Below are 19726 nucleotides of genomic sequence, written 5' to 3'. Positions count from 1 at the left end.
CACACACACACACACACACACACACACACACACACACACACATACACACATATATACTACAGCTGCTCTATGCCTGCTGTTTGGAGGTTGGAAGGAAGGTGAGGGGCTATACCATTTAGGTGCCAATTACAATGTCCAGAAAAAGGGTGAAAGCAAGTTAGCTTCAGTGACTTTAGCTTTAGTTAGCTTTAGTGGAGATGGAGAGAAATAAATGAATATGATATACGTTGGAGGTAGAGCTGCCAGAATTTCCTATTTAGATTGGATAAGGAAAGAACAAGGGGAAAAGCAGAATCCAACATGGCCTGCAGGTTTTTGGATAGTGGACGATGGGGTTATTTATTGAGATAGAGGAAACTGGGTTAAGAAATGGTTTGGAGGTTAAAAGAAGAAAAAGAACAAAAACAGACCAAGTTGATTAGATGTGACATTTAAATAAATATTCAATAATGTTTTTCCTTTCCTATAAGTAATTATTTAGTATTTAAAATATGACTTCAAATACATTAAATATAGGTATTAAGGCTAGACTGTTTTATGTGTTTTGGCTAGATATGGGCTACCTGCCAGTTAGTCAAAATGTCTTCCAAAGCTGCTAAAACAAACAAATCAAACTAAAAACCAAACAAACAAACAAACAAACAAAACCCAGCCCTTTCTTCAGAAAAATTAAGTGGAATTACAAAATATGAAGTATTCTGGTTGAATTGAGGAAGGCAGCTTGTGGCCAACCTGTCCCAAAACAGCCCATGGGGTACTTCACTGGAATTTCTGGGGTTCCTGGGAGACAGTCTGGAATATATCCAGGTTGGTTTAAACTAAGGAGCTGAAAGGAAGATGAAAATAAGAGAATACTGAGTGGGCAAAGAAGGGCTGAATGATGATGACACAGCTTCAACTTAGAAGCTGACTGCTCCTTTAACTCCATTATTTTGGAATACCTCCTTCTATCAGCACAGAGCTTTGAATTTCAAGGTAGAATAACAATAAAACTCAGTAGTGAGAATGCACTGGTAGTGAATAGAGGCACAATAAAGGAAAAATGTTTTGTATTTTGAAACATGTATATGTGGTAGTAATATCTAAGTAAGGGCACTATTAATAAATGTTATAAAAGTTCACTTACAGACTTTGGGAAGGAAAAGGAAACGTTCTGAGTTTGTGTAATAAGACAAATGCAGTAGATAGGTCCTTTTAGTCTAGTTTATTAAAAATCATTTTACCAAGGGAACAATCCAAGTCAGGATTACCTTCTCATTCAGTAAAAGTAACAAACGATCTCCAGTTTATTTTCAAGGCAGTCGCCTTAAAGGGCAAATCAATATCATATTCTAAAGTGGAACATTTCTGATGTTTACAAAATTCACTACTGGACTACAAGAAGTGGACTTAAGGTACATGATTTAGTAGAATTTATATCCACAAATCATTGGGAATTCAAGCAAAATATTTTTCCTACTAAGTAATGCTTACATTCTCAATTCTAATAATAAAGTTGGGAATATCTGTTTTGACAAAGTCACATTAAAAAGTCTATATAGGGCCAGGCGCAGTGGCTCATGCCTGTAATCCCGGCACTTTGGGAGGTGGATCACCTGACGTCGGGAGTTCGAGACCAGCCGGGCCAACATGACGAAACCCTGTCTCTACTAAAAATACAAAATGAGCCGAGCATGGTGGCACATGCCTGTATTCCCAGCTATTCGGGAGGCTGAGGCAGGAGAATCGCCTGAACCTGGGAGGCAGAGGCTGCAGTGAGCCGAGATTGGGCCATTGCACTGCAGTCTGGGCAACAAGGGTGAGACTCCGTCTCAAAAGAAAAAAAAAAATCTACATAGTTTTTTCTACATGCTTAGAGCAGCATTAAATGCTTCCAAAACAATTAAGAAAATAACTTTGCCTAATATTTTCTTGAGCTTTATAGTAATATAAGGGTTAATGTTTTACCTTTATTCAAAATTCAAGAAACAAATGGCTCCCTGATCTTACCAGTCTCACAGTAGGGTTCACCATCCTCCAAGTGAAAAACATTGTTCCGAATGGGCTTTCCACAGGCTACACACACAAAACAGGAAACATGCCAAGTTTGTTTCAACGCACTGATGACTTCCTGTTACAGAAAGGTAATTGGATGTAAAAAAAGAAGATGACAATAAATACATAAATGTTTATTCTAATATCTGTACCAGTAAATCCCTGTAGAGCTAATCCAAAGTAGGCACACATACTTCATTTTTGTCTTGAGCTTTCCCTCAAAGTAACAAGAGATACTTAAGAACAGACTCACAAATCATCTAAACGGATGCATATTTAGACGTGTGTTCTTTACAAATGCCAATCAATAAACTTAAAGAATGATCACTATGTTATTTATACATTATATGTACAGTGAATAAAGTAAGCATTTCATAAATGCTTGCTACAAAACTTTCTGCTTCTTCTCAAAGGGTGTCAGGAAACATTAACTTACCAAGGTTTTATGGTATTATCTGCAAAAGTTCTGGGGGAAGGAGGAAGCATTTAAAAATTAAAACAAACCTATACTTTGGTGCATTTTAGAAGCAATAATATAATATATATAATTTAATAACAAAACATAATGGGGCCGGGCGCAGTGGCTCACACCTGTAATCCCAGCACTTTGGGAGGCCGAGGCGGGCGGATCACGAGTTCAGGAGATCGAGACCATCCTGGCTAACACGGTGAAACCCCGTCTCTACTGAAAATACAAAAAATTAGCTGGGCGTGGTGGTGGGTGCCTGTAGTCCCAGCTACTTGGGAGGCTGAGGCAGGAGAATGGCATAAACTCGTGAGGTGGAACTTGCAATGAGCCGATATCGCGCCACTGCACTCCAGCCTGGGTGACACAGCAAGACTCCGTCTCAAAAAAATAAATAAATAAATAAAAATAATAAAATATACATAATTATATATAGTTGTATATATTACATGTATATAATGTATATAAATGTATATAATGTAATAAAATATAATAAAAATATAATGTAATCCAATCAGTTTAACACGTGTTTAGGCTTTTGGAAATCAGCTAAGATGGCACTAAGCACAGACTCGAATGTGTAAAATTTGGACCATATTCTAGTCAGCAATGGCCCAATGGTTAAACATACCAAGTTATAAAGATTTGGGCCAGATATTAGTTAGTAAAAGAGGTTTTGGGTGTTGGTTTTACAAGAAATCATTTCTTTGGATTGAGAGAAAGATGGAGCCATTAAAATAATTTTGGATGAGTAGTGAATACTCTTTCTATAATATTTATCACAAAAAATCATATACATAAAGCATGATTACAATTTTGTAAACACATTACTTATAAAGAGCAAACTAGAAAAAAACACATCATAAGGTTAACAGTAATTATCTGTGATTGGTAAATATTTAGGTCATTTAAATTTATTCTTTAAATTTTTTGTGTTTTCTAATTGTGCTTGAGTGAACTATTTTCTTTTATAAAAAATATCAAAATAAAATGAAATAATATAGACTTATTAGCCATAGAAATTGTCACAGTTCACTACTGAAGGACAATGGGAAGAAACAGACATTTAGATCCAAAAAATTCACCATGAACATTTGTAGAAGATGTATATTGAATCAAACTATCTCCCAAGGCTTCCAGAATATTCTTCCCTTTCCATCCTTGAGAGAAATCTTTAACAGGTAATCAAATAACTAAAATACAATCTAGACAAGCTATTGAAGTTCTGGCCCATCTCCAAGGCAATGAGTATGAGATTTCCATTTCCCAGAACTTTATTTGGGTCTAAGACTCTAACTTCACTTTGTTTTGTTATTCTAACATTTATAGAATACCTTGATACACTAAAACAGTATTAATGAATATTCTATTAATTATTTGTTATCATTTGGGAAGGTACAGTCTGAACCATTCCACTTCTTTGTTCCCAACATATTACACAAATCAATAATCTAGAAATATTTCAGGTGACATATATATAATTTTAAGTGTCTTCAACGTTTCAGACATATTTAAGGATATCCTAAGAGATATCTTAAGACTACTCAATAATTCATACTACCTATTCTCTCAATTAACAATAATTAGAGTTTCATTATCATATTTTCACATTGAGAGTATATTAGAGTTCAGCAGGGCCATGTCCAATTTTTGTGTGAAGCCAGGTACTCTGGCTTCTTCTGAAATCAGATTCCAGCTCCTAGTCACCATAAAGTATGCCTGACCCTTACTTTATCATTGGAAACTAGGTATTCCAGAGCAAGAAATTCATGTATTCATTATTTATTATGTACTGTATCTGATTCCTAAATTACTCCTTTTTTTGCAAAAAAGGAAAAAAAATTATTTTTCCATCACATGTGCACTCTCATAAAACTGAGGTTATATTTTTAAACACTGTATGTATTCAAGAAAAATATATCATTTATAAACCTCATGTTTTATATATTTCATGAAATCAGTGTCCTGTGCTTGAACTCTGACAAGTAGGGAAATACTGCTCTTATAAAAGCTATGGAATTTAATTTAAAACAGTGAAGGTGTCAGTTCTAAGAACTCAGATGTGTGTGGTCCTATGCGACCTCTTCATTCCTGAGCAAACAGGCTCCTGTTGAGGAAGCACACCCACAGTAAATTATTTTTTCCCCACAGTGGCTAGACTTTCACCAGACAAGCCAGCACTCAGTGAGACAAAACCAAAGACAACCTAACCCCATGAGTCCGATATATTTCCACAGAGGTCTATTTAGTTTTGCTTTACAATAATAAATAGTGCCGAAAGCAGAGAGGGCATAAAGCAAGAAGAAAATAAAAAGTTAAAGTGATAGAAGACTTTCATATCAAAAAATTATTCTACTTTAAAACTCATTCAGAATAAAAACGTTTCCAATACTTACTCCAAGGATCTTCCTTTGGCATCGACCACATTCAGGGGCAAAGAATTTCTCATAGCACAGCTCACAATACAGGGCTCCTTTCTCCTCTACAAATCCAATGTAGGCCATTGTATTTTTGCAGTGAGCGCAGTTGAATTCTTCTGGGTGCCAAGATTTCCCCAGTGCCACTAAGAATGGTCCTCTGACAGAAGAAAAAGAGGCCAACTAAGTTTGAGAATAAAATTTCTAGAGTTAGCCTGGATATGGACCTCTTTTATGCAATGTCCAACCAATTAAATACTTGCTCAATTTTCCTTCTTAAGGACTGAACTCATGGGTGTTGGGTGTTGTAAATTCACAGAGGGACTCTGCATTGATGTGAAAAGAAAACGGGAGACGTGCACTTAAGGGATTCCTTCAAGAAAGGGCACTCCCCACCCTTTTTCTGCCTAAGGGAATTTGGTGATGTTTTATTGAGCTGAAATGAGGCAATCTGTCTGCATCATGGGTAGGATTGAGAATGAGGATGTTAACTGTGACTGTGACAGAACATGAGGCAACCAGAAAAAAATATATGGTTTAGGCAGAGATGAGACTTTGACACTTCTACAAAAGAAACAAACAAAAACTTCAATTTGGTAAGTCATAGTGCTAAAAATAGTAATAACTATTACCTGAGACAATTTCTCTTCCCCACAATTTCTCTTCCCCACACATTCTTTCATGTATTTATTTCTCAACTTTACTAAACACATCAAGTCCTCACCCTCCAAAATGACTACAGGAACTGTAAACTAGGTATTATCAATTGTCTGAAACTACTCAGAAAGGTTTCATTTCACTCAAATATGACTGATTTATTTCAAAAATTTAATTTTATTGTGGTAAGAACCCTTAAAATGAGATCCACTCTCTTAACAGATTTTTAAGAGTACAATGTAGTATTGTTAATTATGGGCACAATGTTGTACAGCAGATCTCTAGAACTTATTCATCTTGTATAACTGAAATTTTATACCCACTGTGCACCAACTTCCCTCTCCCCCCTCCCCAACATGACCGATTTTTAACACACATTTGTATCAAGGTAACAAATGTTTGTAAGAGATTTTTTTCCCCATTAAATACTTTATGGTCATGAACTGATAAGATGGGCTTGGTTTGCTTGGCAGGAATCCATTATGAAGCCTTATCTAGTCATGAAGCCTGCAGAGACTAACCATTCTAGCCTCTGCAACATACTTTTCAGTAGCTATATCACACTAATTTATATTCATAGAGCAGCTTTACCTCCAAGGCACTTTTACACTTATCTAATTTGTCCATGCAACATTCCTGTGAGACAGACCAGGACAGTTATTATGAATTCAGTTTAACAGATGGAGAAGCCAAGGTACAGAATGTTCAAAAGATATGACAAATATCATAAAATCACTGACCCAGCCAAGGCCAGAAGTTGAATTTCCTGATTTCTAGTATGCCGCTCTAGTCAACTGATATTCTGCCTTTGACCTCATTAACATCACTTATCATCCCTAAGCGACCACATGGTAATTGTTGGTAAGCATCAGACACCAGACTTCCAGGCAGATTATTAACAGGAGAAGTCATAGCAATGAGTATCGCAAAGTCACAGCATTTTTAAAATTCTGACAATAACATAAACCTTGCTATTCAATAACTATCTCCCACTGTAAATTCTTTGTCACCATATTGATGTTTACTCAGAATCAGCACCTAATTCTGCAAGAGTCACAAAAGGAGAAAGGCTCTTGATGAGTGATTAAAAATTTTTACGTGGGGTGTAAGAGGGTATTTTCTAGCCCTACTTTTTGTTAACTTGTTTCTTATTAATAACATGATGCCATTTTGTATAAGCTAGTACATATCATTCTCTTAAGTTTGAGATAGGCAGTTTATTATTATTATTTTTAAAACTTTAGGGTACCATAATTTTGTTATGACTAATAAGGAATGCCTTTGTTTACTAATTCCTGCCAGAAAAGAAAGGCTACAGATCACCTATTCTGTAATCGAATATATTACTTTTGGTAAGTGGTCCATCATTTTCAACTGACTTATAAAATAACAATCCTATTCAACGAGTTCCTTCATCTAATTTTCTCAGTGTATGTTTGGCAAGTAGTTTATCAGCAAAGATAAACCAGGAATCACACTGCTCAAAGCCAGACAAAGTTTGATGAGTGCCCTGTGTTTTTCCGCCAGGTGGGCAACTGGTTATACACGCATGAAAAATCTTCCAGGCTCAATTTACTGTGACCATAACACAGAGCATGGTAGAGCTTTGGGGTTTCATGCTACTCTCTGGCTGCACATTAAAACAGATTCAAAGCCATTTACTAGGGTGAGTTTTTTACTAGGGCACATCTTTAGCTCATCCATAAGGCTGGAGGACTCTTGAGGCTAGTATTCTTATTTGGCTTCTCAGTTTTCAAAGAAGTCAATCCAACTTCAAACTGCATTCTGTTAAAGCATAAGTGTTGGTATGTACCTGGAACAAAATGAAAAGCTCTGCTCCTGGAACATGTCTATCAATGCTATCAAATATTTGACAAAGTTCATCTGAGAAGAAAAAAAGACATTTAAGAATAACTGACCAAGGAAAATACATTCCATTTGCCAGATTTTCTAAAATATGTATTGAGTTCAAGTCAGATCATCAGAAAACTGGGTTCTGTGAATCACAGCATATTGGGCCTGCTGCACCCCGCAGGATTATTCCTTTTATGAACGGTGCTTGTTGTGATACATGAACCTGTACTGGTAGTTGTTACAGGACACAGCTCTATGAAATTCACCCTTGCTCTTCCTGCAAGTTGTTGCTGGAGTGTTGTTAGATCTCATCCAGCGTCACTTTCACATGGTCTCATTCAGAAAAATTCCTCCCTGATTTCTGCAGCAAGAACTATTATGCTTTTCCTCAGCAGTAGTCTTATTTTTATCTTATTGTAAATTGCAAAACTACCTTTCATTTTTGGTAGACTACTAGAAGGCCTAAAGCCAGATTTACAGTCTAACCAGAGGCAAGTGGGCAGGTCATTATTTTAGTATCGTCCAGTCTCGACGTTAGCTTCATTTTTAACGAGCCTATCGATGAATTTCATTCTTTTTCCCCTTTTGTAATTTATAAGATTATCTTATATTTCACATACCTGTAAAAGTCTTTTTACAAACTTGCTGGAATATAGTTCACTATAAATACATAAATTAAAACTACAGTCCATTAAAAGGATGACTTTAAAATATTTCATTAGTTCCTTTCAAATAGCAAAAGGAATTTTAGACAGTAAAGAAATTCCCACTGCACCTTTAAAAAACAAGCTGAAAATGACCCTTGCTCCTCTCAGATCTCCTTTCTTAAACAAGCATGCTCAGGGCAACTACTGGCCTAACTTGATACTTCTTGGCTGTCCTGAAAGAGCATCTTTCTCCATCAATGCCCTTGAAATTATGCACAGATTAAACAATAAAATTAATCTTTCACATATAGCAAAGTGTTTTCTTCTCTGTGTCAGCAAAGACTAATTTAACAAATTCATTAACACAGGATTAACACTAAAGAAGTTCTTCTTGTTCCAGGTAGGATTGGGTTTCCATTTGTGAACAGGAATGACAGGCCTAGATAACTGCAGAGTGGAATTAAGTATTCAGCTATCTCTTCTAGTATTCGATGTCCTGTGAGCCCTTACTAAGTACATGTTGACTGACAAATGGAGGGAGAGGAGGGATTTAAAGCATTTGGTTGGCTGTGAGAGAAGAGCTACGGCATGAAACTTTTCACCCTGTTTATCTTCTGTGAGACCTATCCAAAAAGGCGGGGCATGTGGGGGGAAGAAAGGAAAGGTAGGGAAGGATGCCAAGGAAGAGTTCAGAGAAAAAGGAAAGCTTACAAATACAAAGGTGAAAGGAACTCAGATTTCAACAGGCACAACCTAACTGGGATTTAGCCTCAAAATCTGATGCTTATTTTTTGCTGCTCTTTGTTATTTAATTCTCACAATAATCCCAATGACAGAAATTAACTTTTTCATATACGTGTAGATGAAGAAAACGTCAGAGAAATCAGCCAACTTTCCTAAGATCATATGGATGACGAACTAACTGTAATACTGGAATTTTTCAAAGCCCAACCACAACAGATTTTATTCGACTGAAAATTACTGTATCAATAGAAGTAAAAAACAAGTTTCCCAAAGCTATAAAAAAACTGACGTGCTCAAGAATAAAAACAGAATCTGATATTCTACTTAGTTAAATATACTAATACAAATGTACAAACCACTTTTATGTTTTTGTATTTGCCAACATTGAGGAAGGGCCTGGCGTGAGCAAAGGGCAAAAGAACAACACAGCCACAGGAATAGAGTGAAATAGGAACAAGATAATCAGGAGAAACTGCACATAAATACATTCACAAACGATTACACACAAAGACACAAGCAGGAAGAGAGTAAAAGAGAAACACAGTGACTATCGTCTTAGAATACTCAAAACTGCAGACATTAACAATCCTTCCTAAAATTTGGAAACACTGTATTTGTCACTCTTAATTCTTCATTTCCAGTGGATTATATGCAAACTTTCCAATTTGGAACATTAAAAAGTAATTCTTTCGCTGAATGTCAACTTTAACTTTCAGTCCTTTAACATACTACATTTAAAGGGTTGTGAGGCCACCTATAGTTTTATATCTGAAAGGCATAAATGACTTGCTTCTCCAAAATAAATGCACAGGTAAAATGAGTTTAAACATAATAGTAAATAAAGAGAACAAGTTCTAAAGAAGGTAACCTTAATTGACAATTTTTTAAAAGTCTACTGGAGACAACTACAGTCAATTCTTTTTGAGATTATTATAAAATCTGCAAAGCAGGATAAATGTAATTCAATAATAAGACAAGTGAGATATAATTTCAATTTGGCAACACTAATATACATTCTACAAATATTTAAAAGTTCATCTATCAATTGAGCAAGACTTTACTAAATGCAATATGTGCTAGGCACTGTTCTAGAAACAGGAAATCTGGCAGGGAACAAAGCCAAAAAAAGCCCTGATTGCATGGAACTTATATGCTAACATAGGGCAGGGAGATGACAGTAAGATAAATAAAATATATGGCATGTTAGATATTAAAGGCTGACAAGAAAAATTAAGCAGGGAGGGCAGAGAGGAAGATGGTATAGGTAGGAAGTAGGGATGAAATGGGAGAATTTAAATAGGTGACCAGGAACACTCTGATATTTGAGTAAAGACCCTCTCCATGAGTGTGGGTAGAACCTGTGGCCATGACAGGGTATCACTCCTGTGATTAGATAACTGTAAATAGCAAAAAGGATTGTGCAGATACAATTACATCCCCTAGGCCAGGCATGGTGGCTCACGCCTGTAATCCCAGCACTTTGGGAGGCTGAGACGGGCGGATCACTTGAGGCCAGGAGTTCGAGACCAGCCTGGCCAACATGATAAAACCTCGTCTTTACTAAAAATACAAAAATTAGCTGGGCATGGTGGCACGTGCCCGTGGTCTTAGCTATTCGGGAGGCTGAGGCAGGGGAATCGCTTGAACCCAGGAGGCGGAGGTTGCAGTGAACCAAGATTGCGCCACTGCACTCCAGCGTCAGCAACAGAGTGAGACTCTGTCTCAAAAAAAAACCAAAACCAAAATCAAAAAAAAACAATTACATCCCCTAATCAGTGGATACTGTTAATCAAAAGACAGATCATCCTGGATGGGCCTGACCTAATCAGGTAAACCCTTAAAAGAAGTTAAAAAGCAACAGGAGAGGCTCTACTGCTGGCCCTGAGGAAGAAAGCAATCATGTTGTGAACTGTCTAAGGTGGGGACGGCCTATAAGGACGTCAGTCCCAGAGCTGCAAGGAACTGAATTTGCCCAACAACCTGCGTGGGCTTGGAAGAAGATCTGGATCTCTACATGATAACTTCAGCTCAGCTGACACCATGATTTCAGCCTGGTGCGATTCTGAGCAGGGTACTCAGCTAACCCATAGACTCATGACACAGAAACTGTGGGACACTGGCCGGGTGCGGTGGCTCACGCCTATAATCCCAGCATTTTGGGAGGCCGAGACGGGCGGATCACTTGAGGCCAGGAGTTCGAGGCCAGACTGTCTCTACTAAAAATACAAAAATTAGCCGAGCATGGTGGTGCAGGCCTGTGGCCTCAGCTATTCAGGAGGCCAAGGCAGGAGAATCCCTTGAACCTGGGAGGTGGAGGCTGCAGTGAGCTGAGATCCTGCCACTGCATTCCAGCCTGGGCAACAGAGTGAGACTCAGTCTCAAAACAAAAAACAAAAACCTGTGAGACACCTTAGTGTCATTTTTAGTAATTTGAGTCTTCTTTTTTTTTTTCTTGGTAGTTTAGCCAATGTTTGTCAATTTTGTTGATCTTTCCAAGGAACCAACTTGTGGTTTCATTGATTTTTTTTAAATTCTCGATTTCATTCATTTCTGCTGTAATCTTTGTTCTTGCCTTCCTTCTAAGTTTTGGACTTAGTTTGATCTTTTTCTAGAGTCTTAAGGTAGAAGGCAATGTTACTGATTTGAGATGATTCTTCCTTCTGAATGCAGACATTTGCCAGCTATCAATTTCCATCTAAGCACTGCTTTAGCTGCATTCAATAAGTTTTGGTATATTACATTTTCATTTTCATTCAGCTCAAAGTATTTTCTAGTTTCCCTTGTGATTTCTTTTCTGACCCACTGGTTGTTTAAGGAATGTGTTTTTTAATTTCTACATATTTGTGAATTTCCCAAATTTTCTTCTGTTATTGATTTCTAATTTCATTCCATTCTGGTCAGAGAGCATACTTTGTATGATCTCAGTCCTTTTAAATTTATTGAAACTCGTTTTATGACTTAACATATGGTCTATCCCGGAGAATGTTCCACATACACTTCAGAAGAATATATATTCTGCTGGATTCTGCTGTTGCTGAGTGGAATGTTCTATAGATATCTGGTGAAGTATACTTGGTATTTAGTGTTGTTCAAGTTTTCTAGTTCTTTTTGCTATTCTGACCAGTAATCAATTATATCTATTAATTAATATGGAGTGTTGAAGTTTCCAACTATTATTATTGAATTGTATATATTACTCCCTTCCATTCTGACAGTTTTTATTTCACTTATTTTGATGCTGTTAGGTAAATATGTGTTTATAACTCACATTTTCTTAATGGATTGAGCTTTTTATCATTATAAAATGTACTACTCTGTCTCTAGTAATTTTTTTTGTCTTAACATCGATTTTATCTGATATTAGTACAGTCATTCTCACTCTCTTTTGGTTACTATTTGCATAATATATTTTTTTCTATACTTTTACTTGTAACATATTTGTATCTTTTATTTTAAACTGTGTCTCTTGTAGACAACTTATAGTTAGATCATAATTTTATCTACCCTTCCACTCTCTCTTTTAGCTGGAGTGTGTGATATATTTATGTTTAATGTAACCTACTGATAAAGTAGGATTTATTAGTGGCATTTTGCTATCTATTTTCTCTATGTTGTATGCCTTTTTTGTTCCCTTTCCTACATAAAAAAGTGAAAGAGGAATCAAAGTCATCAGCTAATAGTGAGGATGGGAAAGGAGATTTTAGAAGTTTGAGGAGAAAGAAGATGTGAAATGGGTTTTTTGGGGAAAGTGGGAAAGTAAACATATTAGAGAAACAGCAGTCTTTCATTACTATTAAGAATATACCCAGGGAAAAGAAGGAACATACCTGAGATTAGTAGTGATGAATTTAAAAGGAGACTGGTTAGTGTGATTGTGGGATTCCTTCCAGTCACACCCATCATTCGGGTGTGAGCACGGGGTAGACTAGAAATATATACCATGGTGCCAGTATGGTAACTTGCATAGAAGTTTTCAATGGACATTTGTTGTACAAAATATTCATTTGATTATGAATAGACTTCTGAACCTTACTGCTTTCCATTCTTTTCAAATAAAATAAATTGGTTTGTTAAAGTTGGATAATCCTTACCTCTCCTTTTTGCACTGATGTAATCCTAGATGCATCTCTGTTCGACTTACCATATTAATTTGGTTGTTGATTTGCTTGTCTGTATTTTTTATTAGACTATAAACTGAATTAGTTTGCCAGGACTGCCTTAGCAAAGTACCACAGACTGGGTGGCTTCAACAACAAGAATTTATTTTCTCACAGTTCTGGAAGCTAAAGTTCAAGACCAAGATGTCAAGAGGGCTTCTCCCCTTAGTGTATAGATGGCCATCTTCTCCATGTGTCTTCACATGGTCTTCCCTCAATATGTGTCAGTGTCTCAATTTCCTCTTATAATGACACCAGTTAAATTTAATTAAGGCCCACCCTACTGACCTCATTTTACCTCTTTAAAGACCAAATGCCCTCTTCAAATATAGTCCCATTCTGAGGTACTGGAATTTGGGATTTCAGCAAATGAATTTTGGGAAGACACAATTCGGTTCACAACAGTAACCTTCTTAAGAAAAAAGAGCATGTCTTTGATTTCTGTGCCAGTGATATCTAAGGACAGCGGCACACAAAATACTCAACGAATGTTGCTTATACTCCTGCATTAGATGAGAAACTAGAAAAGTGAGCCCCAAGTAATCTACATGAGTTTAAGAATACATATATGCTGTACAAAATAATTTTAGAGGGGAGATGAGAATATTTAACTGTTCAACTTGTTTATTATCTATTATCTTCTTTCTCATTCAAACACTACGAATAAAAGTACACTGCCATAGTCTTCAGTTATGGCAGGTTTACTGAGGGTGTTTTTCTGATGTAATACAGTAATAGATATCATTGTGTGTATATTCATTCATCACAAACACACAAACTCTTGTGCAATAAATTAGAAAGACTGAAGTCGGAGAGAGAAGAAAATAAACATCACATCCAATCTATTATCTGGACATTATAACTCTTAATTTTGGGGTATAGTTCTCTTTTGGTCTTTTTTCTAAAGCACACTGGCTATATGTATTGCTTACTATTATATTCCTAAAAACAGTGGGATAAAACAGTGCCTGGTTCATTATAGGACCCTCAATAAATATTTAATGAATGAATGAATGTATTTCAGAATCAAGCAGATGGGTTCCAGCCCTGGCTCTACTATTTAACCACCTTTGTGACTTTGGGCAAATTAATCTAAGCCTCTGTATTTCCATCTGTAAAACAGGCATAAGAATATATCTACTAACAGGAAAAGAAGTCAGTGTATGGAAAAGATACTTGCACATGCATGTTTATAGCAGCACAATTCACAACTGCAAAAATATGGAACTAGCCCAAATGCCCATCAATCAATGGATAAAGAAACTGTGGTATATATACACAATGGAATACTACTCAGCCATAGAAAGAATAAATTAATGGCATTCACAGCAACCTGGATGGAACTAGAAACTACTATTCTAAGTGAAGTAACTCAGGAATGGAAAACCAAACATCGTATGTTCTCACTCATAAGTAGGAGCTAAGCTATGAGGATGCAAAGGCATAAAAATGACACAATGGACTTTCAGGACTCAAGGGGAAAGGATGGGAAGTGGGTGAGGGATAAAAGACTACAAATTAGGTTCAGAGTATACTGCTCTGGTGATGGGTGCACCAAAATCTCACAAATCAACTCTAAAGAACTTACTCATGTAAGCAAATACTACCTGTTCCCCAAAAACCTATGGAAATAAAAAATTAAAAAAAAAAGAATAATATCAATCCTCTGGAGTTATTTTGGGAATCCAGTAGAATAATACTAATAAAGTTCTTGGCATGGGCTGGGTGTGGTGGCTTACGCCTGTTAATCCCAGCATTTTGGGAGGCCGAGGCAGGTGGATCATGAGGTCAGGAGATCAAGACCATCCTGGTTAACATGGTGAAATCCCATCTGTACTAAAAATACAAAAAATTAGCTGGGCGTGGTGGCAGGTGCCTGTAGTCCTGGCTACTTGGGAGGCTGAGGCAGGAGAATTGCTTGAACCTGGGAGGTGGAGGTTGCAGTGAGCCGAGGTTGCAGTGAGCCGAGATCGCACCACTGCACTCCAGCCTGGGCAACAGAGGGAGATTCCATCTCAAAAAAAAAAAAAAGTTCTTGGCATGATACCAATCAAGTTCAATATATAGTAGCTATTTTTATTGTTATCAGGCTTAAATATATATCTTGGTGTATAGTTTCTTTACATAAAATTGGAATCATACTTTTGAGTTCCTTATTTCATTTTTGCCATATTCATATGATACTATAAACATTTTCCTATGTAGTGGTAGTTAAAAGCATGAATAAAAATTAAAGTTAGACAAATCTGGACTCAAATTCAGGTTCCATTATCTACTACATATGCAACTTCAAACAAATACGTAACTTCTCTATGCCTCAATTTTCTCAACCTTGAAGTGGAATAATCATAGCAACTGTCTCACAGGGTTGTTATGAAAATTCAGGCAAAATTCTTGGTGCAATATTTGGAATATGCTAAAAACACATTTAACTTTAACTATTATCTGAAAATTACATTATATAGATGCTGCACATTTATGTTCTTTCTAATCTTTCACAACAGTAAATAGTGAAATCTTGGTCTCTGTCTTGTTTATGAGTCTTGGTCAATGTCTTTAGTTGTTTCCTTAAATACAAGGGCTAATAATACATTTCCAGGAGGCCTTTTATTTTCAAGTAAAATCTTAATTAGTGGGGATGATAAATAAAACCTATAAATAAAGGGGTGCTCAGAGACTGAAATAAATGGTAAAACAGGCAACAAATTATGCATGTTTTTCCTTGGTAAACTGAGATGGTGCTCCTTATGAGAGAGGTTTGAAAATCACTGAGCAAAAAACAAATCAATAATGTTAAAATTTTTTCTCTCACTGGAACAAACAATGGATTGGCTGTATATAGTTTTTCTGGTGCTGTACTGTAGGCAAAGGCAAAACAATAGTAATGTGGCTATTTAAGCATTCCATATTTAAGAAGAAATTCAAGCACTATAAGCCCCTTATTTCTTTCACAGAGAGGTCAAGCTAAACATAAATAGTTCCGTTAACTCCATGTAATACAAATGGTCAATAGATTTTAATGCCACTAGATGTAACACTTAAGAAATAAACTAGAATGTTCAAAACCCCATTCTACCACGGAAACTGAAATATGATTTTGGCTACAACTGCCTGATTTTCTATGATTCTCTATTATCCTAGCACTCCAACAGTTAATCTATTCATAAGTATGAGTCAAATAAATGGTGCTTCTAACATAATTTGACTGAAAATGTCCCATAGCAAACTTAATCAAAGCTTCAACAGAAGTTCCTAAAATGTAACTTCCTATTCATTCGTAGCTAGTCAAAGTAATGTCTCCATAATACAATTTAGGCAAAACATCCATAAACTTTTCACAATTCAAATAAACCAAAAAATTTTTAAACTTTAGATCCAAATAAGATTACGGAATTTTAAACTGAATGTGCTCTATAAAGAGATAACCAGTTCAGTTCTAACATTCAGATTCCTGAGGTTTTCTAAAACAATCAACTCTGCTGAAAAAAAAAAAATAAATAAAATAAAATAAAACATAAAATGTGCTTTAGTTTGCCTTTACATAAAAAATGGTTTTTGGCAAATTCGAAATATTGAAAAGTAAATATAAAACAAAACAATATAAATTGGTACAAACAATATAAATTATATGACAGAAAACTCACAATATAAATTATAAATTTAAACTTCTCCAAGCTTGCTAGGGTATAATAGTCTGCATTGAAGGTATCAAGCCTGAAACTACAGCTCGTTTTTAAAACAGGTGTCCAAGAGAATGTCACTTGATCTAAAGTCTTCTTGCTTTGGTTAAGTAATAGTGACACTGAGGCCAAGAACTAGAATTATGCTTTGACTAGGCCTCTGAACTGACCACAATCGATTCAAGCTGCTTAAGCATTTGAGCACCAGGCAAATGTGCTATGTTAATTACTGTTACATGATCTTGACATGAACTAATCCCCATTCCTATTAACTTCCTTAGTAAATGAAGCTTTAATGCTTAACTGATAACAAGTACTGGATAATCCAGAACAATATAAAATTTAACAGATGAGGGAGCAATAAGTGATGGCTACTCATGTTAGCATAATACATATTTATTTTACACGGCAGGATGACTGTGCATTAAAATTGCATACTGGCCTGGCATTAAATTTAAAACCAAGGCAGGTAGGGGTGGTGAAATGTAATTTCTACTTTGATCTTCACATTTTCTCCATATTAAGTAAGTTTTTTAGAAGTGCCGGAAGTGGTGATTACAGGATATCATGGAATTTGATAACTACACAACATGAATCAGCAACTGATGTGGTATGACATTTTGTTAACTCACCCAGTAATTACTTGCTTACAATAGCATACAAATAACAGCAGTGACTCCTGTCTCCACAAAGGTGTTTTTATCCAGAATATAGTATCCCTAAGCATCAGTCTAGGCAACCAAAGTACTGTAACTTACAGAAGCAATGTTACAAGTCAGAGTTTGTTTCTATTTTATCGATATTAAACCAAAAATATAACAGCTAAATGCAGGTAGTACTAAAACATTGTTTTCTTTATTAGGATAAAGCAGCAACATACCAGATCTTACATTAGTTTAAATATTTCTATAAGACAGAGACCCCATACTAGCACTTTCAGGAAAATGACTAACCAAATTGACATTATGGCCTAAATGATGAATGGGTCTAGAGTCATGCATGATCTATGCAGTTAAACATTTACTGAATGCCTTCTGTGTGTTGAATACTGCTCTAGACTTTGGAAACCTTTACTGATTTTCCCTTTCTCCCCATAACCACTATTACTACTACCACTGCTGCTGGCTAATTCTTACTAAGCAGGTGCTCACTCTGAAAAATACAATTTAAAGGAAAAATAGCAGCTTACAAAATACTGTATTAGGATTCCATTTTTGTAAAATAATATCTGTCCTTATGTGTGAATGTTTTAAAAGTCTGAAAGAAAACAGATAATAGAGGTTACCTTGGGAGGTGGGATTATGTGTGAACTTTGTTTTTTGTTTTCTGTGTTTCTATGTTTTTTAAACGTCACAATGAACATTGACTACCTTTAAAACAAACAAACAAAAAAACTATTCAGTTTTGAATGGCATACTGTGTGCTATGTTCTTGACACATATATTATTCAATTAATAGTAGGCTAAAGAGAGGGGTGTTTATATTTGACTCTAAATGAAGTATTGAGGTTTCCTGACTCCATTTTAAATATTACCTAGAAACATTATGCTATAATTATGTAATAGAAGAGATGAAAATGCAATTAAGTTTTAACCTTATTCAACTTTAGAGAAGCCACTGTTTCAATTATTTCAAAGTAGGATAAATTTAAAAAGAAGAGAGCTTGAGAAGTCACTTCAAAGGACCATTTGTTATTGCCAACAAGGCAACTCACGAAGTGCAACAAGGTCCTTTGGGTGGGATGCCTGCAATCAGCACTGGTGCCTACACCACCTAACATTCTAAAAGCCCCTTATTCAGAAATACTCAGAGATTCAATAAGCTGCAGTACAGTGCATTCTTAAGATCTGAGACTTTTTCTTCTTGTAATTTAAGAGACAATAAAATAGATTGGGATAAAACGTATTTTAAAGAAGCAGGTCATTACGTAATCTAACATTCAAAACATTTATGAATAGGTCTGAAGGTACCTTTCAGTGCTTGTGTACTCAAAAATCCAATCATCTTTTTCTCTAAGGCTCAAAGTTCTTTAATGTCACTAGTTATTTTTCATCTAAATGAATGTCCTCACTTCTATAATTTGTAGAATAATGAAATTAGGATAAATGACTTTCAGGGTCCCTTTGAGTCTTAAAATTTTATTATTCTCTGAAAGGCCACATTAATCACTTTTTCCTTAGTTCTAATAGGAATTGATAACTGATAACGAACGCAATTAGTACTTTTATTTTCACAGACCTCCGTATTACCTTTCATTAAAATAGATTCTCATAGATAGATATTCGTATTTACTCAATAATTAGTACTCTATAGGATTATGGCAAGAATATTTTCACTAATTACATTACACATACTTCCAAATGCAAAAAAAAAAAAAAAACCCAACATTGATATTAAGTACTTTCAAGAAAATTTCAAAAAACAACCAACCTGATGACCTGGTTACAATGGGCGCACATCGGAGTTCGTTTCCCTGCTGGAATGTGCTCAGCTCTTTGCACTAAAGTGTCCTGGTCACTTGGCTGGGTTTGTCCCAAAGCTGAGTTGGCTGGTGCCACTGATCCTGAGTAAGTAGCGCTGTTTGAGATTCTTCCAGTGGAAGGTACTAGGAGTTAAAACAGAAGAATCAGAATGAGAATAAGCCACATATAAACCTTTCCTAACAATCAAATAATAAAAATTATTATTTTAACAGTAATCTATTCACTTGTTATTCACTCACTCACATTTACAGTGAGGTTATGAATCAAACACTAGGCTGTGACTATGTAGGTAAATGGGAAAGAAAACCAAAGATTCCAACAAAGTAAAAGAATTATGACAGACGTATGCATAGAATTTTTTTTTTTTTTTAAGACAGAGTTTCGCTCTTGTTGCCCAGGCTGGAGTGCAATGGCATGATCTCGGCTCACTGCATCCTCCGCCTCCTGGGTTTAAGCGATTCTCGTGCCTCGACCTCCCAAGTAGCTGGGATTACAGGCATGCACCACCATGCCTGGCTAATTTTGTATTTTTAGTAGAGACGGGGTTTCTCCATGTTGGTCCGCTGGTCTTGAACTCCTGACCTCAG

At 35.9% G+C, this 19726-nt stretch overlaps 1 protein-coding gene across 6 annotated transcripts in view; it reads right to left on the bottom strand.

Moving 5' to 3' along the window:
- The window catches only part of PDLIM5 (PDZ and LIM domain 5), a 216282-nt gene that overhangs the window by 8687 nt on the left and 187869 nt on the right, over positions 1 to 19726 (bottom strand). For all 6 annotated transcript variants that reach the window (NM_006457.5, NM_001256426.2, NM_001256427.2 and 3 more), the window contains 3 exons: positions 19087 to 19261; positions 4897 to 5077; positions 1990 to 2110 (listed from right to left, as the gene is read on the bottom strand). In NM_006457.5, the coding sequence (NP_006448.5) occupies positions 1990 to 2110; positions 4897 to 5077; positions 19087 to 19261 (477 nt within the window). The remainder of the gene's footprint in view (positions 1 to 1989; positions 2111 to 4896; positions 5078 to 19086; positions 19262 to 19726) is intronic.

This window comes from Homo sapiens, chromosome 4 (genome assembly GCF_000001405.40).
Source record: "Homo sapiens chromosome 4, GRCh38.p14 Primary Assembly".
Taxonomy (NCBI): domain Eukaryota; kingdom Metazoa; phylum Chordata; class Mammalia; order Primates; family Hominidae; genus Homo; species Homo sapiens.
The sequence above is the reverse complement of the archived record's forward strand: the minus strand, read 5'-3'. Positions and strand labels throughout refer to the sequence as shown.